The sequence below is a fragment of the Homo sapiens genome, chromosome 5, assembly GCF_000001405.40.
Source record: "Homo sapiens chromosome 5, GRCh38.p14 Primary Assembly".
Taxonomy (NCBI): domain Eukaryota; kingdom Metazoa; phylum Chordata; class Mammalia; order Primates; family Hominidae; genus Homo; species Homo sapiens.
In genome coordinates, this window is record NC_000005.10 from 9,325,811 (window position 1) to 9,348,770 (window position 22,960).

Here is a 22,960-nt window from a genome sequence, read left to right on the forward strand (position 1 = left end):
CTATAAAATCAAAGAAAAAATTACAAGTTCCTATTGAACGTATGAGTTAGAGGTTTGCTTACAACTGAGAAAAGAAGAATTAAGGAAGGTAGATTTGTATTTTGTACTAGAGCAAATGAAGGCAGAAGCCGATAAAATGTATAAAGACATTTTAACAATGTTGACAGAAACGTTTGTTGCTGATTAATAAAAGTTTAGACCAAGGCTGATCACGAAACAATCCAAAGACAAAACAGACACTGCCCATGAGCCAGTTGGGGAAGGCTGAGAGCTGACCAGTCTCTCCTGTCCCTGCACCAGCTTCCTGCACACAATACTTTCCTCACTGCAAGTTTCCTTCCATCCTCACTGCTGTCAACATCTAACTGGCACAGAACTTTTCAAGTATAGTGACATCCTACATGATACGCACATTTTCAATTGCACTGGTAGACTTTTGAAGATAACAAGTTATGTTTGAGATGGAGTCTCGCTCTGTTGCCCAGGCTGGATGTGCAGTGGCAGCATCTCGGCTCACTGCAACCTCCATCGCAGGCATTCAGCAATTCTTGTGCCTCAGCCTCCAGGGTAGCTGAGATTACAGGTGCGCGCCACCATGCCCAGCTAATTTTTTGTGTGTTTTTAGTAGAGATGGGGTTTCGCTGTGTTGGCCAGGCTGGTCTTGAACTCCTGACCTCAGGTGATCCCCCTGCCTGGGCCTCCCAAAGTGCTGGGATTACAGGCATGAGGGAGGCCGAAGCAGACAGATCACCTGAGGTCAGTAGTTCGAGACTAGCCTGGCCAACATGGCGGGAACCTACCCCTACTAAATATACAAAAAAATTAGCTGGGCGTAGTGGTGCACAACTGTAATCCTATCTACCTGGGAGGCTGAGGCACGAGAATCCCTGAATGTGCAAGGTGGAGGTTGCACTGAGCAGAGATCCTGCCACTGCACTCCAGCCTGGGCTACAGAGCGAGTCTCAATAAATAAATAAAATAAGGAAAAATAGTAACTATATCCTTTAAAACATAAAGTGTTGTAAAATTAGTTTGATTATCTAAGTGTAAATATTTAATATCGTGATCATATCAGTAAATTTAAATATAATGATTTAATTTAATCATGTAACCAACTCATATAATTCACCAATTCACCAGCATGTCTATAATTGTGATTTCCAAGACTTTTCATTATGCTGGTCGACTCTAAGTAAATTCTAGGAGACTTTTTATTTTGTGGTTATAACTATCCTAAAAAATGTCTGCTTCATGTATTTTTTTCATGGGTTTCTCAGAAGATAATTAAATTTCAAAATTACAAAGCCTTTCCAAATAGTATCACATTATATTTAAATAGTTAGATCACATTTAAATCACAGTTTTTAATTCTTTTGTGAGTTTTTTTCTAAAATATTTTAAAATATGGTGACAAATTTATAATATGGTCATGTGATTAGCTATCTCCTCAGTCAGAATTTTCTCTACCCTCCTCAAAAATAGTAAATATGTATTCTTCGGGCTATGCAAATTTCAAGATAACTGTAATTTAATTTTTGTTGCTGTTAATACTGTTACGTGTGTCTGGTACCCATTCTCCCAGAATCATATTAACTTCTTTCATTCCCTATCCCAGAAAGAGCATTTTGAGCTCCTTAAAAGTCTTGGTTATTAGAAATAAATTTCAAAGAACACACTAAAACTGAGATCAAACCATTTTAATAGCATTCTTATATATTTAAATACCAAGATTAAAAGGTGCAAAAATAGATGGATAGTCTCTTATTATTTAGCAAGTAGAATGAAATAACAAAGATACATTTTAATGGCATGCAGTAACTAAACAATGCCGCCAGCAAATCTTAGAGATATAAAATCAGGAAAATATTTTCCCACAAATATATTTAGGGTAAAAGTTATTAATCAATATTGTTAATAATTACACTAATAGTTTACATTTTATTATGCTTTAATTATTACTTGCAAATCTCTAAGTGCTGTGAGGATTACAGATGATGATTTATTGCTCTAAATTTAACTCGCGACTTTTGCCTTTGTGGGTCCTCTGGGTATCTGATTTGTTCCTTTCTGTTTTTCAGTTAACAGAGATAATTTTTCATTTGAAAAAAAATGCCAACTGAATATTTCTATGGTTCCTTTAACCTGTGATTTCCTAGGACTATTCATGCTTTAAATTATCTCCATATACAATTAATTTTCTAGGTTATCTTCAGTATTCATACAAATCTGAGATCTTTTTTCTCATGTATCTTCTAATAATCAAAGAATTACAGCTCATCCTCCCATATGCTCTATCCCAGTCACACTCCCAAAACTCACTGAATGGTTTGATGCTTCCCACCAGCCAACCCACTCTGTTGGCCATCAATTGCTGTCAAAATCAGAACTGAAACGTGTCTCAAATCTGGCTTCTCATCTCCATTGCCATCATCACTGCCTAAGTCTAAGCACCCTCTACTCTCACCTGATCCACAACCCGCAACTGCCATGCCTCGCTCCAAATTCTGCAAGTTCTAGTGCCTAGTGCATCCTGCACACAATATGGTGGACGTATCTTCCTAATGCAAATATGATTATGTGAACATATAAATGTAGAAATCTCCTGGGCTCCTCAATGCCTTTAGCAGAGGTTCTCAAATTTACCAAGCCAGCAGAGCAATGGGAGCTTGATTAAATCAAAGATTCTGGCCGGGCACAGTGGCTCATGCCTGTAATCCTAGCACTTTGAGAGGCCAAGGTGGGTGGATCACTTGAGGTCAGGAGTTCGAGACCAGCCTGGCCAACATAGTAAAACCCTGTCTCCACTAAAAATACAATTAGCCGGATATGGTGGTGGGTGCCTGCAATCTCAGCTACTCGGGAGGCTGAGGCAGGAGAATTGCTTGAACCAAGGAATCAGAGGTTGCAGTGAGCCGAGATCATACCATTGCACCACTGCACTCCAGCCTGGGCAACAAGAGTGATGCTCTCTCTCACAAAAAAGATTCTGGCATTACTTCCGGAAAGTGGAATTCAGAGGACTTGAGGACAGGCCTGGACATCTACACTCTTGAAAGGCCTGTCAGGTGAACCTAAGACTGGCCCAGTTGGAGTCACTGGTCTAGAGGACTAAGTCTAAACTTCTTTATAATCTGGCCCCAGCTAATGCTCAGAGCTTCACCTATAATTACTTCCCCCTCTCTGTCACCAACAGGTGCCACGGAGCCAAGCACTTTTCAGCCTCATCAGAATCTCTGACTTTTCCCATGTGACTCTCTGTCTTCCCTGCCAGATTCCTCAAGCATCTCTCAGGCCCCGTTGGAGGAACACCTTCTCTATGCAGCCTCTTCAGATCGATGCACCATCATATCCCTTTACTCTTGGTGTTTTCAGGACCCTTTACTCAGGCTTCCCTTGGAGAATCTAATTGCTTGTGCCCGTCTCACCCACTAGGCCAAGATCATCATACTTTTTGTTTTGGGGCCAGAGAGCAGATAGTTTGCTTTTGTGGTCTATGTGCCAACTACTCGTCTCTGCAGTTTTAGCTCAAAAGCAGCCACAGAAGATGTGTGAATGAGTGGGTGTGGCTGTGTGCCAATAAAAGCATATTTACAAAAACAGGAGGCAACTCTGGGGCCCCAGCTTGCCAACCCTTGCGCTGGACTAGAAAGTCCTCATCAGGTAGAGAAGATGCTTCATCTTTGTTTCTCTAATGCCTAAGAAGCTTCCTGGCATAAAGTAGGTTCAATAAATATTTGAGTAACACAGAGTCTTGAAAGAAGAACTACATGAACTAATACATTTGGATGAACCCCATGTGGACCTGGTAGGAGAAAAGCTCTCAATACTCAGTCTGTAGCACATGTACATGCAAATAAGTTATTCAATTATTATCACAGCCCTTTGTTGGTTTGCTCATGGGATCTGGGAAATAGGAAGCCTTTGTACATTTATTTATTTATTTACGGCTGTCCCTTGGTATCCCCAGAGCATTGGCTCCAAGACCACCTCGAGTGCCAAAATCCATGGATGCTCCAGTCCCTGATATCAAATGGATTGGTATTTGCCTATAACCTATGCACATCTTCCCATATACTTTAAATCATCTCTAGATTACTTATATCGAGCACATTATAAATGTAAATAGTCGTTATGCCATATTGTTTTTATTGGTATCATTTTTATTGTTGTATTGTTTGTTTTTAATTTTTCCAAATATTTTAGGCTTGTGGTTAAATCTGCAGATGCAGAACCCAGGGAGGACCAACTGTATGTACTTACTTGCTTATAACTAAATAGATAACTGTTGTACTAGGCTGATATTCTCCCAACTCAAGCAGGGAAAAAAAAAATACAGATGGGAGGCCGAGGTGGGCGGATCGCCAGGTCAGGAGATTGAGACCATCCTGGCTAACATGGTGAAACCCCGCCTCTACTAAAAATACAAAAAATTAGCCGGGCGTGGTAGCGGGCGCCTGTAGTCCCAGCTACTCGGGAGGCTGAGGCAGAAGAATGGCGTGAACCCGGGAGGCGGAGCTTGCAGTGAGCTGAGATCACACCACTGCACTCCAGCCTGGGCGACAGAGCGAGACTCTGTCTCAAAAAAAAAAAAAAAAGTACAGATTAGTTTTTTTTGTTTTTGTTTTTGTTTTTGTTTTGTTTTGTTTTTTTACAATAGCAGAAGGAACAGAATGGTTAGAAATCTTTCCCAGGCATGTCAGTTGGCCACCAGTTTGTTAAAAGCACACACCCTGAGCCAGCTAAATCAGCAGAGCTGGGAGGGGCATCTTAATTTTGAACAAATGTCCTAGCTAATACTTAAGAACATTAATGTTTGGCAAATGTTGGACAAAAGGTAACAAAGCCAGCAGACAACAAGGAGACTTTTTAACATATATTGGGTAAATTAATCAAATAAGCGAATTAGAAGAAAGGGGAGAACAAGTAGAAGAAAGAGAGAGATAAGCCCAGAGAATCATAAAGGACATACCTGTGCATAGGGGCCAGCCCTGAGAAGGAAAGGGACAGAGAAGGGGAAACCTTTAAACCCTAAAGTGGAGGTTCATAAAGATTTGATTGGAAGAGGACAAAAAAGACTGCAGTGAAAAGCACTGTTCCTTTTCCATCACCAGCTGCTTGTCTTAAGTCATAATTAATGTAAACACAACATGAAAATCAGCATTACCTGGGATCTCTTCCCACAATGGGGTTCTACTCCTTTTTGCATTCACTGCTAATCTCTGATTTCATACCGCTCAGCATGTATTCCCTTTAATTGTGTCAACTTGACTAAAATATACTCTTTGGAAAAGACGAATAAGTGTGGCTACTGGAAGCAGAATCGCTGATCTGATAAACATCTTCAGTTTTCCTGTTAATTATATATTGCCTCCAAAAGAGTAATTCCAAGGTAAAATTTTCAAGTAAAAATAAGAATTATAATCACCGAAAAATAATGATATTGGCCAGTTGTTTAAAATAAATTTTATGTGAATTTAAAATTAATCCCCCTTGTTTAGAACCAGTGTGATAAAGTCATTTTGTAAAGAAGAAACTCATTAAATAGAAGCCTACCGTTTATTTTATGCGTCTCATAAGAATATATGCTATGTTAAAATAATTGGGAGGCCATTAGATTGAGGAGGCTTCACTGTCTTGGGTTCCTATGTAAACAAACCAAAATTCAACTCAATGTAAATAGTAAAAGGAAACTTAAGCTTAACCAATCAGAAACAAAACCCTAACTAAAGTCTAACTTCAGACTTAACCAATTAGAAACCACCAACTAACCTCTAACTAGGGAGTTTCCACTTTAACCAACTAGAGGCATTTTCTTTGTCTTGTTTCTGGGAAGAATATTATAAAAGTTTCCTCCCTTGCCACCCCCACCCACAAGTGGAGAGCTGCTGGAAGTCTGGTGATGCTTGATTCCTAAATCTCTAAATGTTCAAATAAACTTGTTAAAATTTTAATGCACCTAAGTTTATCGTTTAAGGGTTTTGAATACTTACAGCAAATTCAGCCAGAGCATAAAAACAGCAAGTTAATCTTTCCTTTTTTATCTGTAGTTTTGTAAATTCAAACCATTAGCCAAACAAATGGTTCAAAATAATAAACGAAAAGGATCAGAAATCCATACTATTTGTTGCACATACATTTATACAGACATATCTTCTGATATCTAGAAATACTGTAATGGTAAGTCAAGGGGTTTAGTGCAAGGTATTCAGGCAGCTATGGGCTGATACTCACATTGGGTCAGGTGTGCAAGGCGTGCAGTTATGGGCTGGTACTCACATCGGGTCAGAAGTACAAGGTGTGTAGTTATAGACTGGTACTCACACTGGGTCAGGTGTGCAAAGTGTGCAGTATGGACTGGTGCTTACATCATGTCAGATGTGCAAGGCATGCAGCTCTGGGCTGGTACTCACATTGCGTCAGGTGTGTGAGGTATGCAGCTATGGGCTGGTACATTGGGTCAGGTGTGCAAGGTGTGCAACTATGGGCTGCTACTCACATTGGGTCAGGTGTGCAACGTGTGCAGTTGTGGGCTGGTACTCACATGGGGTCAGATGTGCAATGCATGCAGCTATGGGTTGGTACTCACATTAGGTCAGGTATGTGAGGCTTGCAGCTTTAGGCTAGTACTCACATTGGGTCAGGTGTGTGAGGCATGCAGCTATAGGCTGGTACTCACATTGGGCCAGGTGTACAAGGCATGCAGCTATGGGCTGGCACTCACATTGGGTCAGGTGTGCAAGGCATGCAGCTATGGGCTGCTACTCACATTGGGTCAGGTGTGCAACGTGTGAAGTTGTGGGCTGCTACTCACATTGGGTCAGGTGTGCAATGTGTGCAGCTATGGGCTGGTACTCACATTACATCAGGTATGTGAGGCATGCAGCTATGGGCTGCTACTCACATTGGGCCAGGTGTGCAAGAAGACTCATGCATCTCTAGTGCCTTTTGTTCCCTTGGTGACTTAATGTTCTCATTTTGTGATGTTATTTTGTATAGAATTAAAATCAAACATTTCCAAGGACATAAATCATTATATCTGCTATGAATTATGATCATTACCTGATCCAAGTATTGGGTCTGTGGGCCTCAATCCCACCACCTTACCCATGGCAGATGTTTAGGCCATGTGGACTCACAGGTATTTGTTTGAGAGCTTACAGACGAACTTTCTTACTAAAATACCACAGTTTGTAAGACTGTACCCTTTGATTTATGTTTATATTACACTCAAGCTTTTTGGGAAAAGTAAGAGAATCAGAATTGAGTAATTGGATGAAAATAACTTAAAGACCAAGAAACACATTTAAAAACCTGAAGAAAATTCACATTTTAGAAACTGAGATAGATGTTAAAAAATGTTTTCATTTAGAAAAATCACATTTTGAAGAAAAGCACCTAAATAGCCAGAAAGAGTGACTCCACATCTTCCCCACAGTTCAGTGGCAAAGACTCATGCTACAGATGCTTTGATAATAAACTCTTTTTCATTAGCACTGTAGGTCTTTATGCATTATAAAAATATGGCCAATTTGTAAATGTCCAACAGCATTCAAACACTGCCTTATGTGTCAACCAAGTTAGTTGGCATTTGGAATAATACTTGGATTCAGCACAGAATACATATCAGAGTAATTCGGGATGGAATCACTTGCCACCCTTAGAATGAACCTGAAACACTAAAGACGAACTAATTCATTTGGGAAATAAAAATGTAATCACCCTCCCTTGTATCTGTTGCAACAATTCAATCTGCAGTGAAACTTACACTTGTATCAAGTGTGTGGAGTGTTATCACTGCCATTCCTTTTATAATCTTCTATACAAAAACCAGTCATAATATATTCTTTCATTTTGAATTTTTTATACCAAGAAACTGATCTTAGTAGGATTTGTGACAAAGAAGTATGCAATCATTCAACAAATATTATCCCAAGAGTAGGAACAAATAGAAATCAAATAATGCAAGGAAATAACTGAAATGCTTCACTGTGATTATCTCTGAAATTGTTTTTTTCTTTATGCTTTACTGTATATTCTACATTTTGTAAATGAAGATACCTAAGTTTCATTACTGAAAACACAAATATTATTAACTTTTAAAGAGACTGGGGGAAAACAAGATATGACTGTTGATGCATTTAACATAATACGAAAGTTCATGTGCATCCTGGAAATGAAAATGTATGACTTCTTCCAGAAATTCCCTGAATTCAGATCCAAGTACCTTCCGATTCTCCATAACCACAAATGGCTGAAAGAGAGGCTTTTCTTTTGCAGCCTAACGAACTTCCTTTATCAAAGAGTACAAAGAATCTTTAACTGTTTCAATTTCAGGAACATACAGTATCACTAGTATAAAGTGAAACCATCCAATAAATGGTTCCACAATGCCTAGTGCTATGAGAAAAAAAAATCGACTATTATTCTATTTTTTCACAACTCATATTTTTAAACCATTACTGATTTCTGAAATATACACCTGTTATCTAAACTTACTCTTGCTAAATCAAGCTTTGCCAAACAGGAATCTGAGGGCTGGGTTATTTTTAAAGTTTTATATCTTACTCATATGCCCTCTCAAACTTTCTGAGCCTAATCCCATGAAATTTCCCAGGTGAAATTCCTATTCTCTTCTTTAGGTAGCGTCTGCCTGAAAGGCATATGCACACGTATGCGAAACCCATGAAGACCCTCAGAGCTTCCCTAGGGCTGCGCGCTCACCAGCCTGCCTGTTAATGTGACAGTAACTTCTCACGGGTTATTTTATTTCATCTTCGCAACAGCTGAAAGGGGTAGAAATTGTTGCATCATCTTTACAGGTGATAAAATCAGGCTCTGAAACTGGCTTAGAGTCACTTAGGTAGGGGCCAGCCTCTTTTTTTTTCTGTTATTATTTATCAAGTGTCTATAATGTACCACACACTGCTCTAGAATAAAAAACTACAGCCCATGCTCCCGGGGTCACCAAACCTTTGGAACATACTTATGATAAACATATAAAAGGTTGTTATTTGGAATTCAAATTTAACTGGGCATCATGGATTTTTATTTGCTAAGTCTGGCAATCCTATGTATTCATGTCCACCATGCCATACAGCATGCTAGGTTGACTCAGCGGCCCATCCGATCCTTCCCAGCAGACCATGTTGATATGCAATGGATGGAGACCTCCAGGAATGAGGTCTGGGATGAGGACTCCAGGGATATTGAATTGCAGATTCCAGGGGCCCTGGGATGGAAGCCACAAGACACATTGGGATGGAGACTCTAGGGACGCTGGGATGGACACTCTAGAGACATTGGGATGGAGACGACAGGGATGCTGGGGTGGAAGCTCCAGGGAAACTAGAAGACACAGAGATAGAGACTTCCAGGAATGCTGAGATGGAAACCATTGGAGATATTGGACAGAGACCTCTAGGGATACTGAGAGAGAGAGAGACACCCCACTGACACTGGAATAGAGAACTCCAGGGACTCTGGGATGAAGACCTCCTGGGACAGGTACCCCTTGAAAACAATTCCCAGCTGCCATCCACAGCCAGAACAGGAGCATAAGACATCTCTTCAAAATACCCTAATTTGCTCTGTGGCTTCTCACATCCCTTAGGAAAATCTTGAGTCACTGACCAAAAGCCAACCACTTGCAGAGAATGAAGCGCTGGTCTGTTCACACAGCACCCAGGACCTCCAGAGACAACAAGAGAATCTCATGAGTCAAAGTCATAGAAAAGCCTTTCCAAAGTTCTTTAGAGATGAATGAGGGATGCAAGACTCAAAACACTAATTGGGGTCACATTTGTACCTGCCCCACCCCGGTAAGGGGTCTGTTCCCTTGACTCAGAGTGAAAGCTCATTTTCCCTCAGGGTGAGCTTTGGTGTATACAGCCTGCCACTGGCTCATGCCCTTGCCAGATGTAGGTGTCTGAGATAAATTGTTATAATCCCAACCCCCTTTTCCCTAAGTGTTCACCTGGATGCAGAGGGGAACATAGACAAATTCAACTCTGGAAATAAATGTGTTGAATCAACAGGTATCTTTGAGCTTCTATAAGCAGGAAAAATCTGTGCTATATGCTGGAGAAATAAAGAAAAGACAGGCACTTCCCTTGCCTTCTGGTAAGTCACCATCTGATAAGGGTGACTTGTCAAGAAATAATGCAATATTGTACATTAAGTGCAGTTAAAAAAAAAAAGTAGATGTCCAGTATGTTACTAGGGCCACACAGGACAGAGAATGTGGTGGTTCAGGACTGCTGGTGGACCCTTGAGCCAGGTCCTTACTACAAGTGGGAGTTTACCAAGCAGATAATTTGGAGTGGGGGTTGGTGGCAGCCAGTATTCCAGAAAATGAGAAAGAGGTCAGAAGGGAAAAAGCCCAGAGGCAAGAAAGAGCATATTCCATAAGTGTAGGCAGAATAAATAATTCCACATGCCTGGACCATGTGAGAATGAAAACAGGCAAGTCTGGAAGGGAAGTGGGAATGCAGGGCAGAAGGGCTGGCGTACCACACCAGGGAGACAGCTTATATCCAATGGGAGCTACTGAAGGTGGGCATTTTTAAAAGATGATGTTGGCTGTGGTATGCAGAAGGAGGAGAACATCTGGAGGCCAGGAGACTGATTTAACACCACTGCAAAACACAGGCCGAACTCCAAGTGATGAAATTTGTTGGAAGTGAGCATCAGAAATCCCCCAGTATTGCTACTGGACTAAGGTAAGGAAGAGAACACCAAGTAGCCTTGTCCAATCCATACTCACCGCCTCCTCACAAACGTCAAAAGAGGTGAAGGTAACTTGCTAGGTGCAATAAACTATGCCAACTTCTTCCTACTCATGTAAAATTACAACCATTCATCACTTCAAGTGTTGAGTGGATGTACAAGGACACCTCAAGATCCAAGAGCAAAAGCAACGATCCTAGAAACTGTTCAATGTTTATCTAGAGTGCCCAGACTATAAGCTAGATTTAGCTGCACTCGTGTTTATAGAGAGACTGCAAAACCTCTGTAGCTATGGCAGGCATGCTTTATACTCTGGTACATTTGGACAAAAAATATAATGAACTCTCCACTGCCCAATGTGCCATCCTTAGATGCCAGAGGAACCCAATTCTACAAATGGACCCTTTCTTAAACTTTAATGTCAATTTTCCTAAAAGATGGATATATAATCCCAAAATAGGTAATTTAAATGCAAGGATTATGCAGGTTTTCTAAGGAAGTGATAGTGAAAACAGGGGAAAGAACTCAAATTTGTTTGGATTGTGTTCCAGTGGCCTCATTGTCAAACTGGGATGCAGATGTTGACCTAGATACGGGAACACTCACACCCTTAAGAGATAAAGATAAAAATAACTTCGTTGAATCTCAATTTACTGGTATATGGCCTAATCAAGGTAACAAAGAAAGGTGGTGGTGGGCCTTGGGGTACACATCAAGATCTCTGGATCTCTAGAATCCTACTGAAGAATATAGTGGGAAGTCAGGAACATGTTTTCAGGAGTCAAACTGACTGGGTTTGGAACCCAGGTCCATCTTTTCTTAGGCATATGCCCCGGACAACTTATTTATCTACTTCCTTCCTCAGTTTCCACATCTCTAAAACAGCAATGTTGATAGTACCTACCTCTTAGGTTTGAATGGAGGAACAAATGAGTTAATTCATGTTAGAACAGTTACTGGCACAGGGTGAGGGCCCGATCAATGCTTACTCTAACGGGCAGCCATCAACATCTTATTAGCAGTAGTATATTTTATGACACTCATACTGTATTTCATTCTTATAAGAAATAATATTATTCAGCATTCTTCAGTTTTGTCAGTGAAGGTCACATGTAACTGCACAGATGTAAAATGAAGTCCAAAAATATCTGTGGTGGCAAAATACAATATCTCTCACCTTGCTCCTACAACAAGTTCTTTCTGTCCTGGGTCAAATGTTAACTGCGAGAAATCCACAGCATTCTTCGCTCTGAACTCCCGTAACCAGGGGCCAATTTCTAAATAGAAAAAATAAATAAATAAAAAGATAAAAATGAATTATTTTTCCTCTGGGGACCACAGATAGTGCACATCAGGTAGCAGACGTTACATTTCAGAGAGGATTCGGAGGTCCCTCTATGCCATCTTTCAGAGGCCACTGGAGGTTTCCCTCAGGATGCCCCATAAGCCATACTAAGAACTTGTAAAGCACAGAGGGCAGCCACCCAATAAAGAGCAAGCGAGGCATCAATGCTTGGTTGTGATTTACAAGCCAGATGTGCATTTTCCTTTTGGCTTTGGGCTGGGCAGAAAATAACACAGCATTCACATGATTCATCAGAGGAATACTGAATGCAAACAAGACCATTTCCTGTGCAACTTGACTCAAAAGAGCTGCAGATTTTTAAATATTACAAAAGCCTCCTTAGGAGCAAGGACCAAGCACACAAGCATCATTTGCCTTCTTTCAAATTAGATGTTCCATTTCCCTGTCCTTTGGGTTTCTATTTTGGCCCCATGATTAGACTTGTTAAACACATTCCGACCTTTCTAGATGAGAAATCCACAGTTACTTCTAGGCTTCATTTGCATTTTTTTTTCTAAGGGAAATCAGAAAATAGCCACTCTATAGAGACAGGCTTTTACAAGCACGGTTAACTCCTATTAGACAGCCTCCAGCCCAGAGTCCGATAATTATAAAATGACAGTATTTGAGGAGAGATAGGATGCTGCTTCAATGAGCCATTTTTGCAACTTTCATTAGCTCATTTTTAACACTAAAAAATATTCAGTGAGTTGCCCACCAAACGTGGGATACCTTATCATTATCATTGACAATTAACCATAACATCTGATTGTCGTTTTTTCTTGGATTTAGTATTTTGAATAACACCACCCTGACTAACCAGGCACATAACAACTGTCAAATCAATGAAGATGTTGGTTTGAGGAAAAAGTGTGTGATACAGGAAAGAATCTCCTCCAACAAACGCTGATGCTAAACACATCAGTGTTATGTTTTTAATGGGGGCATATGGAAATATGCCCCCATTCCGTCTCATATCCTAAAGAAATCGCTTTGTTGATGTGAATGAGAGGGACTATTTTTTCAGGAATGGTTCTGTATAATAAACATGTCTTTTCTCTACTAACAGTTACGAGGGGGAAGTGATATCAAGTAAAATTTATCTTCTGCTTAAAGGAAACCAGGGGTGAGTCATATAGAGAGGGACTTGTAATGTATATGATAGCTTGATTTTTTTAAGGATTTTCATATAAATTTCTACATTTTATAGGCAAATCAATTAAAATACGTAGAACAAGGTATGTACAAGGCAATGGAACTATGAAAAGTTATTAATAATCCTTCCAGGACTTTATAATTCAGTTAAAGAAACAGCACTAGTATCTTTAAACAGGGTGTCTATCAATGCAAGTGTTTATAGGGGCTTGTGGGGTTACAGGAATTATTCTTATATGAAAAGAAGAGATGATTGAGAGCTGCAGTAAAACAAGAGGAAAGATTTGACCAGAGAGTGACAGGAAAGATGTCCTAGAGGGGCAAAGCAAGACAGCAACATGGGAGGCCATGGTGCCCCCTGTGGCCATAACTGGTATCACTCATCTTCACTCCATCAATGCCTCCATTCCTGGGCAAAAGAGAACCCAATGGCTCTTGCGTCTGCATTGCTCCCTGCAGTGCATGCAGCATACAAAACAGCACATTGAATGCGATAGGAAATAATAAATATGTGAAATGAAGTAAGAACAAGTAAGTGAGTTCAAGAGAGAAATAATCAAAAAGAAAGGAAATAAGAAAAAGAGAAAGGAGAAAAGAAAAAGTAATAGCAACTTAAGAAACTACTAGGAAAGGAAACTGAAAGGTGTATTTAAATACAAACTGTAGAAAAATTCACTTTCAGGTTAAAAGGTTTGGACTTGATTTCATATGTGACAGCAAAGCTTTGAAACGTTTTCAGGAAAACTCTTGACCCATTTGAGCAGATGTCTTTGGAATATCAATGAGCCCTTGATAGAAAGAATGGTCTGGAAAGAGTAGAGAATGGAAGGAAAAGTAGTATATTTTTAAAAACCTAAAAACCTACAATTTAGGTATTGGCCTTGAAAATGAATAAAGAAGATGTGGGATCACTGATTAGAGATGAAGTCAAGGTAAACAACTTAAAAAGAACAAAACAGTTACCAAATTAAATGAAGAAGAAAACAGTGATGACTGAGACAGGCATCAGAGTTTGAGGTGGCTTTAGAGAAAGATAGTAAATTCAGGTGCAAGAATGGGAATGTTTCAGGTGAAAAATTTCCAATGGTAGGTTGGCCCACAGCCATTGTTAAACATCGCTAAGACCTAGAAATGTCCATAAAGATGTTCTAGTTCAGGAGGTTCATCATTCAGATGGGAAACACATGACCAGGGAGCACTGCCAGGACCAGGCTCCAGAGTGAATATCAGGGGCTCTGTTCACCACAACTCACAGCCCCCAGAGCTGGGCTCACATCCAATCTTCAAACCACATGAGGGAAGAACAGAGGGCCAAGGGCTGACCTTCCTGCTAGGGGAGTGAAGAGATGAGCCTCTAAGAGGAAAAAAGACTACGAAAGATAGAAGAAAATCAGGTTACTCTTTTCCCATGCATTCATCTTTCTTTTTATTTAGAAGACTTGGAAGAAAGTGGCCAACAGGAACCAGGCTAAAGAGACATACATCAGGTTTTGGTCCCTATACTGAACAACGGGAAGGCAGTTTTGCTACTTCCTAAAATACCCTGAAGTAATAAAAGGAGTCATGTACAGAGGAAAAAATGAGTTAACAGCATGTAGTTCTGTCAATATTGTTCAAGTTTCCTTATTTGAAATTCTAATGAACTTTCCCAATAAAACTGTGTATTTTTATGGTTAACATAGATCAAAGTTGAGTAATCTGCATATTCCCTTCTCTTTCCTCCAGAAGGTTGGCCATCTCAACTTTGCATATTACATTGGCTTCTATCTCACTGATACCAAGAGAGCCTTGCAAGAAAGTCTCTGCACCAACTCACCTCTTGAACTAAAAAGAAGCCTGCACCAATACCTATCCTCCCAACTTTCCCAACAGATCAGAGAAAAGGCACTCAATCCTCTTTTCAAAGACCAGTTGCTCTCATCTCTTCTTTCCCCTTTAATCGCTTCTCAATTACCTAGGCTTTCCTCTAAAATCTCCAATGTTACCTAGTCCCTTTCCCTCTGCCTATATGTACATCCTCTCCTATTTCAAAAAGCATTACATATTTTTATTACACTCCCTTGTTATTATAGCTTCAAAAACCCCAATAAAATGCATAATAAACTTCCAAGTACAATATAGCAATATATCAAAAAAAAAATCACACACATACAAACACACACACACACATACACACACACACACACACACATACACTATATTTCATAGGGAATAGGGCTTAGCCCAGAAACGCAAGGATGGCTCAGCAAGCTTAGTAACAGAAAACCTATTACTATAATTCATCATCACAATAACAGATTTCAGTAGTAGCAGGAAAACGTCATCAATACTGCTTTCTAAGGAATCAGAAAATGAACAGTTTTGGAAATAGAAGATCTAAAAGAGTTCAGGGCAATTGGTCACAAACTAGATGCCAGAGGAAGTTCGGGGAGAGTGAGGGAGCAGGAGGGGGTCCACAGCAAGTGGTGAATTGAGGGGATACAATTTTCAATAACATTAAGATGCTCATTGCCCCCAGTGAGTTTACCTTTTTCCTCCTATCCCTATTTTCTGATATTGCTGAAATAACCATATGATGAAATGGAGCTTAAATATGGCAGCCAATATGACTATATATATATAATATATATAATATATATTATATATATATAAAATTGGAAGTTAAGTTATAACATAAAATTTGTAAATTCCAACTGAACACTTGATAGATAATTCATAATATTTGAGGTTAACTATCCTAGATAATCCAATTTTTACACATATATTTACGTGATTGTTGAAATATGGTCTCCAGCAATGATTTTTTATTGCAAAATTACATTCATTGATTCTTAGTTGCCTTCTCTTACAGCTACATAAGCTCGCATGTGATTGGTGTATAAAATATTTTATCAAAAGTATAATTCCATTTTTTTTAATAATCCAGTCTTACAACTTCAAGAAACGATTTATTTTATGAACAAGTCAGTATTAATAATTTGGTCCAAAATACTTGACAAATATAACTAGAGATAAGCTAAATAGATTCAAGTTAATGTCCCTTCCAAAAAAGAAAGAAAAAAAAATCAAAGAAAAAAGAAATGCAAAGAAAAAGAAAGGGAAAGAGGGGTAAAAGCTACTCTTTTAAAAAAAGCAGACACTCTAAATATAGCCAAGGTAATGATGTTTGTAAACCAAAACAACAACAGCAACAAACAAACAATAAAGGGCAGCTCTTGTGGAAGACATGACAGTCATTCCAAAATCTGACTGAGAGCCACTCCACATGCTAACACCTGCAGCGCCAACTGTCCAGAAACCAATCTGATTTGTTAGCAAACACTGACCAGGGAAACCTCCCAGGCACACTAAGGGCTGGCTCCGGATACCTGTTTCATTCCTCACACCTTCAAACTTCAGTTAATTAAGGGGCTGAGAAAGCAGGATTTCAAAAGCTATATGGGTGACTTGAAACCCACATTGGAAACTAAGATTCAAGCCAAACTAGGTGGGGCCAGGGGACGGTGGGTAAAGATTGTTGAAAAGCACGGAGAGCAACTTACATAACACACATAAGTACAGTATGTAGAAATACAAGTGCATATCACAGCCTACTTCTATTTATCATGTAGTTATGTAACCGATTTAGTCTGCATCATGACAAAATAACGCTAACAATATGATTATCAGCAAGACAGCTCAAAAATAGCTAATGTTTAAATAGTAGGTTCTATCTTATCCACTTTATAACTATTAATTCCTGTATTTCTCACACCTGCCTTATCATAGGTGAAGAAACTGAGGCATTGTAAGAGTGAGTGTTGCCAAGATCAATAGCTGGTAAGATACAAACCCAACCAGCATAGTTTTTGTGGTTCTAGCCACTATGCTATATTATTAAACTTCAGCAAATATAAAATTTAGCTTCCTATACAGCACATTTGGAAAATTACAGGAAGAAAGAAAAATCGACAGCCTCTCCACTTTGAAAGTTACTCTATTCCCATTGATAGACTGTTAAGCAAAATCACTACGCACTCAGTTTTCAACTATGGACTAGAGAAAAATGAAATACAACAGAAAGCTGGGTCTCTCAAAACCAGCTACTACTTTAACCTGTGAATAAAATATTGATTGTTTTTGCCCATGTTAATAAGGGTGATGATCTACACAAAAACCATTCATCATTTTTTATTACCCAAGTGTCTTTATGTAAGTATGGAGGAAGAAAATGACAACCATGTACTGATCTGCTTTATTGGAGTAAAGAACATTCTGAAATCAGAACGTAGGAATGATACAAGCACTGTGGAATGCTTGAGTTTCTAAGCAGTCTAAACCACTCAACTCCAATACAGGAGTTGGGGGGCAGGGACAAGGTACTGTCCTGAAAATGAAAGAGCTGTGTCTTCACCTCCTCAAGATGGGAACCTTCTGTGAGCAGCACAGGAAAAGAAGTACAGGGCATATTCTCTGTGGAGAAATTCTGGAAGTTCTTTTTTCTGACCTCTTCCTGAAGTTGTGAAAAGATCCATCCTACCTCAAAGGTAGGGACCTATTACTCCTTAAAGTTGGCATGCTTCTCCCTTCTATGGACTTCATTTTTGGTTTCAGTGCATTACATAAACCATCCTATCAATGAAATCTGAGCCAAAACTATGATAGAAAAACAAGGGAGTGGAATGTTTAAAAGCTAACACAAGTAGAAGAAGAGCACGGCAGGTCTGTGCTGGTTTACTATGCTGTGTCTTGCCTGCTACCAGTTTCCTTCCCTTTCCTTTGCAGTTTGCGTTACCAGGCCTGTTACTTCAACAACCACTCAGAACAAGGTAATCTCACTTTGGACAATAAATCAGCAGCAACCCCATGCCACGTGTACCCCCAAAATAAGATACATCAGGCTTTCAACCAACTTGGTTCCCTCAAATCTTTTCAGTGATTATCATAGCTTTCAGTCCCAAAGCTTCACACACTTGTCTGGTGCCAGCGTGTGAATGCAAAACACGTCATAAGGGAATAAACATGCACATTCATAGATGTTTAAAATATGCTGCTGAAAAACATACATATCAGAATAACCAACATTTCTTACTTATACTTCTTTATTTACTAACTATATTTTCAGTACTGACTTGGTATCAGGAATTGTATGAGATACTTTTACATATTAACTATTTTTATGTTTATAATCTTGTGAAGCGAGAGCTATCATTTTTGTTATAAAATTTTTTTAAACCCTGAAATTTTGACAAGTTAAATATCCAAACATGACATAAGGAATAAGTAGCTAAACTGGAATTTACATCCAGAATAAGGCTAAGGCAATATTTCTATAAGACACAGATTAAAAATCAATTTTCCAAGGAATGCATAAAGAGCATGAATCCTTACTGCCTAGTAACATATACGCATGGATTAATTTATCAAAAATGGTAGTTGTACCCAGCAAAGGAGAGAAAAATTGGAAAGAAGGGAAGCTGGTAATTTCCAGATAGGAGACAGGAATGTTCCAGCTTGGCTGCCCACTGAGCAGGACATAAGTGAAGGAGGAGTACCCCAGAGAAAAACAGAAAGAAACCAGGGCACACCCCAGGCAGCAAGAAGTCCAGGGGAAAGAAGATCTCAATATTGGAGAATTTATCTCCCTCAAATGACTTTCCAAGACAAGTCCTATTTACATTAGCAAACTCCAAAATGTACAGATATGCTAAACCTTACTTTTGCTTTGTAGAAAGGTTGGAAAATATGAGGCCAATTTTTTATCTCCAAATATATGAGCCTCTACTATTTTCAGTATAACTCCTATTGAGGGCTTAGTTGAATCAAAGCAGGTTACAGCAGGGCATGACATTAGCTGCACTTCAGTCCAGCCCTTGACTTTATAGTTGAGGGCAGGTGTGTTACACCACCTGCCCAAGGCTATGCATGTGCAGTGAGCTGGAAAATCCCAGGTCCTAAGGTTCCTTTGCTGGTCTATTTTCTTCCCCATCACAGCACTAGTAGAATATCTAAGTAGAAGTACCATGGCTGAACCTCACCTAACACCGGCATTTAGATCCTGAGATTTGACAAGTATTTATGGTATGGCCTGAAAATCATGCAAACAATTGAAAACATGAGGTAAACCCACCCCTGTTTCAGAAAGGTAGTGGATTTCAATTGGTTACAAGATGATCATTGTTTCCAATGGAATTCTGCTTCCTAACATTCCTCTTAAAATATCCAGGAAAAATATCAAACATGTTTCTTTAGTTGTTCTATATTATCCTTCAACAATCTAACTTGGAGAAATGATGGGCCTGGAAAGTCACATGGGAGTCCCTTCCAGACATGAAGCCTGTCCACCACCTGCCCTGGCAGCCTTGGTCACCAGCTGCCTCCCCATGCAGGCCCCTGCTCCTGCCTTCACTGGAATGCATGCATTCTTTCCTACAATTTCACAGATTGGTGGTTAGTATTTAATGCTGATTTACATTATGGATATATATTTATAACATGGATTCCAGGATGTAAAAAAAAAAAAAAAAGTGGTCTGTACCAGGCTGACCACATTATCTGAGCACATGAAAATTTCTAAATGATAGTATTTTAAATGACCAAAATTATATGTATCTATAGTTATCAATATATCTCAGTCCCAAGGCCATCCCACTCAGCAAGCATCCTCCTTCAAACTACCCAGTATAAGAACAAGAAAGCTCTTGCAGACTGCACTTAGTGAAGTAGATTAAGCTTTCCAAATGTGGATTATAGTCATATTGTATCTAGATATATTGTATATAAGTATATACACAATACATATACTGTATTATACACAACACAATACATATTTTGTGTATATGTATGCAGTGTATATGTATACACATGTATTTATTTCTATATATCTGTATACATATAGACACACATATACATGATAGGGAGAGAAGGCAGAGAGATTCTAGGTGGACATGGGAGGGTCCCTGGAGAAGAATCACCCTCAAGCTTAAAAGCCTGACAGACTGCAGCCCAAAGTGACAACTTATATTCTGTTTTCCTGCTTGAATGTTACCTTTTCCTAAACCACCCATGTTCCCACCCCACCCCATCCTGTGCCTATAAAGACCCCAGACTCAGCTGGCAGAGAGGAGAAGCTGCTGGACATTGTGGACTATGGCTGGATGTTGGAGAGAAGTTGGCTTGACTTCAGAGGGACAGTTTGATGGTGTAACTTTGAAGAAGAATCTGGCCAGAGATGTCCGGACTCCAGGGGAAGATAACCTTCCTGCCCCATCCCCTTTCCAGCTCCCCTTCCACTGAGACCCACTTTCATTGGCATTTATCACCATTTACCTCCACATTTACCACCCTTCAGTTCGCTCATGTAACCTCATTTTTCCTGGACACCAGACAAGAGCTTGGAAACCATGGGGGCAGACACAAAAGGGCCTGCTGAGCTGTTAACATTTAAGCTATCTGCAGGCAGCAGAGCTAAAAGAGCACTGTAATATGCCCTCTGGGGTTTCAGGGGTCACAGGTTCCCCACTAGATGTTGGTGCGGGGCCTACAGGGAGTTGGCTCCTGCCAGCATCCAAAATTGCTCACCCTGGCTCCTGCATCTGCTCACCTGTATGCTCCCTCCAGCATGGGGTGGAACACGGAGGGTCTGAGTCAGTGGAACTCACCCCTGCTAGTGCCAAAGTGGCCAGCTGGTTCCAGCGTGTGTGCACTCCATTTCCGGCCTCGTTTGCACACTCCCTCCCACAGGAGTTGAGAGCTGAGGGCTGAGTAAATGAGGCATCCCTATCACAAGTCCTGGGAAGGGGTCAGGGAAATATCTGGCTTCATACACACATAGATATATAAATATAGGCATCAATGTGGTCATTGTGTATATATATATGTGTGTGTGTGTGTGTGTGTGTATATATATATATATGTATTTGCCTAAGTGTATTCAAATAGATATTATAGACACTTAATAGACTACAGTAGAAAGAAAAAAATTATCTCAAAAAATGTCTACAGGAAATGAGTCTGTCCCATTTATAGAACTTTTAAAAAACAAAAATATTTAATAATAACCAATTAGAGAAATTAAAACATTTCGTATCACGAAAAAAGACCCAAAATAGCAGGAAGCATAAAGCATCTTTCATTTGCATTTTCCTTTGTAAATATGACACTGAAAACACAGCATTTTAAAAATGCAAGCAGTGCTTTTTCGAATCTTTTCTGGTTTCTATTGCAGTCTGTTGAAAGTGAGTCAAGTGTTCTATCAAGTCTTCATATGATTTTGTTGCATTAACACATAGTATACCTAACCCATTTCTCACATGTTCATTGTAGAAAAATATTCACAAACTACAACTTTTGCAAAAGGTCTACACTCTGGATTTGGATTCTTGTGAAGTTCACTGTTTCATCTTGGGCAGGCTTCCTGGTGGATGTCTCAGAAACCAAAAAGCTGTGATAGCTCCTTTTTACTCGATGAGTTCCTGATTGGGTCTTCCTTCAAACACCATTTGAAAACTACAAGCTTGTGTCACACATTTTTTTCTTTTCTTTTTTTTTTACATCCTGGAATCTATGGCATAAAATGTATCCATAATGTAAATCAGCATTAAATACTAACCACCAACCTGTGATTGTAGGAAAAAATGCGTGCACTGTTTCAGTGAGGGCAGGAGCAGGGACCTGCATGGAGAGGCAGCTGGTGATCAAGGCTGCTGGGGCAGGCGGCAGACAGGCTTCATGTCCAGAAGGGACTCCTGTGTGACTTTCCAGACCTACCGTTTCTCTAAGCTAGATCGTCGTCACAAGATAATACTGAACAACTAAACATATTTTTCCTTGGTATTTTGAGAGAAATCTTAGGAAGCAAAATTTCACTGGAACCAATTACCATCTTGTAACCAATTGAAATGCACTACCTTTCTGAAACAGGGGTGGGATTAATAAATTCCACTGTTACCCCACGTTTTCAATTCTTTGCATGATTTTCAGGCCATACCACAAATAACTTGTCAAATCTCAGGATCTAAATGCCAGTGTTAGGTGAGGGTCTGGCTACTCCAGCCCAAGGAGTTCCGAGTCATTCAAGGGTTGCCTCAGACCCACCTGGCAAGTGCAAAGAGACACTAGTGAAAAGTTGTCTGTAATCTGAGTTCAAAATCTGCCTCACAGGCTAGAGTTGCCTTCCCTTTTGTTTATAACTTTCAAGATCTTGGTAAATTCCTATTTCATTAAACCATCTGAAGCAATTAATTAGGATAAGAAACAAGCTGATAAGTGCCTGGGTTTTATTGCTAGATAACTCCTAGAAGAAGCAATTTCTACTCATCCATCAGGAAAGACAGATTTTTTTTAAATTTATAAGATTATGCAAATTCATATATTATAACACAAACTAAGCATGACCCTCAAATTCCTGGACTGTGATTAACTTTGTCCTTCAGGCTATGAAGTTGGTGCCCAGCCTGCCCCTCCCTTCAACTTTACGTGGCTTCAAAGTACTTTGAGTCACCCATAGGAAACTTTGCCCAGTGCAGAAGGGTTTTCATTTTGACTCCTGACCTGCAGCATATGATTTTAGGCTATAAAATCTAATTGCAAAATCTCCATGTTGTGACAAAGAACAACAAAAAGTAATTTCCCTTAGATTTATAACTTTAGAATTACAAATGATGTTAATATGACTAAAATTACAAAAATGAACAATTTCTATTCAATAGGCACTTAGATTATTCCAGAAGTGGCCAAAGTGCTGGCTGTGTAAAC

General features: G+C 39.5%; 1 protein-coding gene across 10 annotated transcripts in view; it reads right to left on the reverse strand.

Moving 5' to 3' along the window:
* Positions 1-22,960, reverse strand: part of SEMA5A (semaphorin 5A) — a 511,043-nt gene that overhangs the window by 290,778 nt on the left and 197,305 nt on the right. For 9 of the 10 annotated variants that reach the window (XM_011514158.3, NM_003966.3, XM_011514157.3 and 6 more), the window contains one exon: positions 11,903-12,002. The exons of the other annotated variant lie outside the window; for it this stretch is intronic. In XM_011514158.3, coding sequence (XP_011512460.1) covers positions 11,903-12,002 — 100 coding nt within the window. The remainder of the gene's footprint in view (positions 1-11,902; positions 12,003-22,960) is intronic. 10 annotated transcript variants of the gene reach the window in all.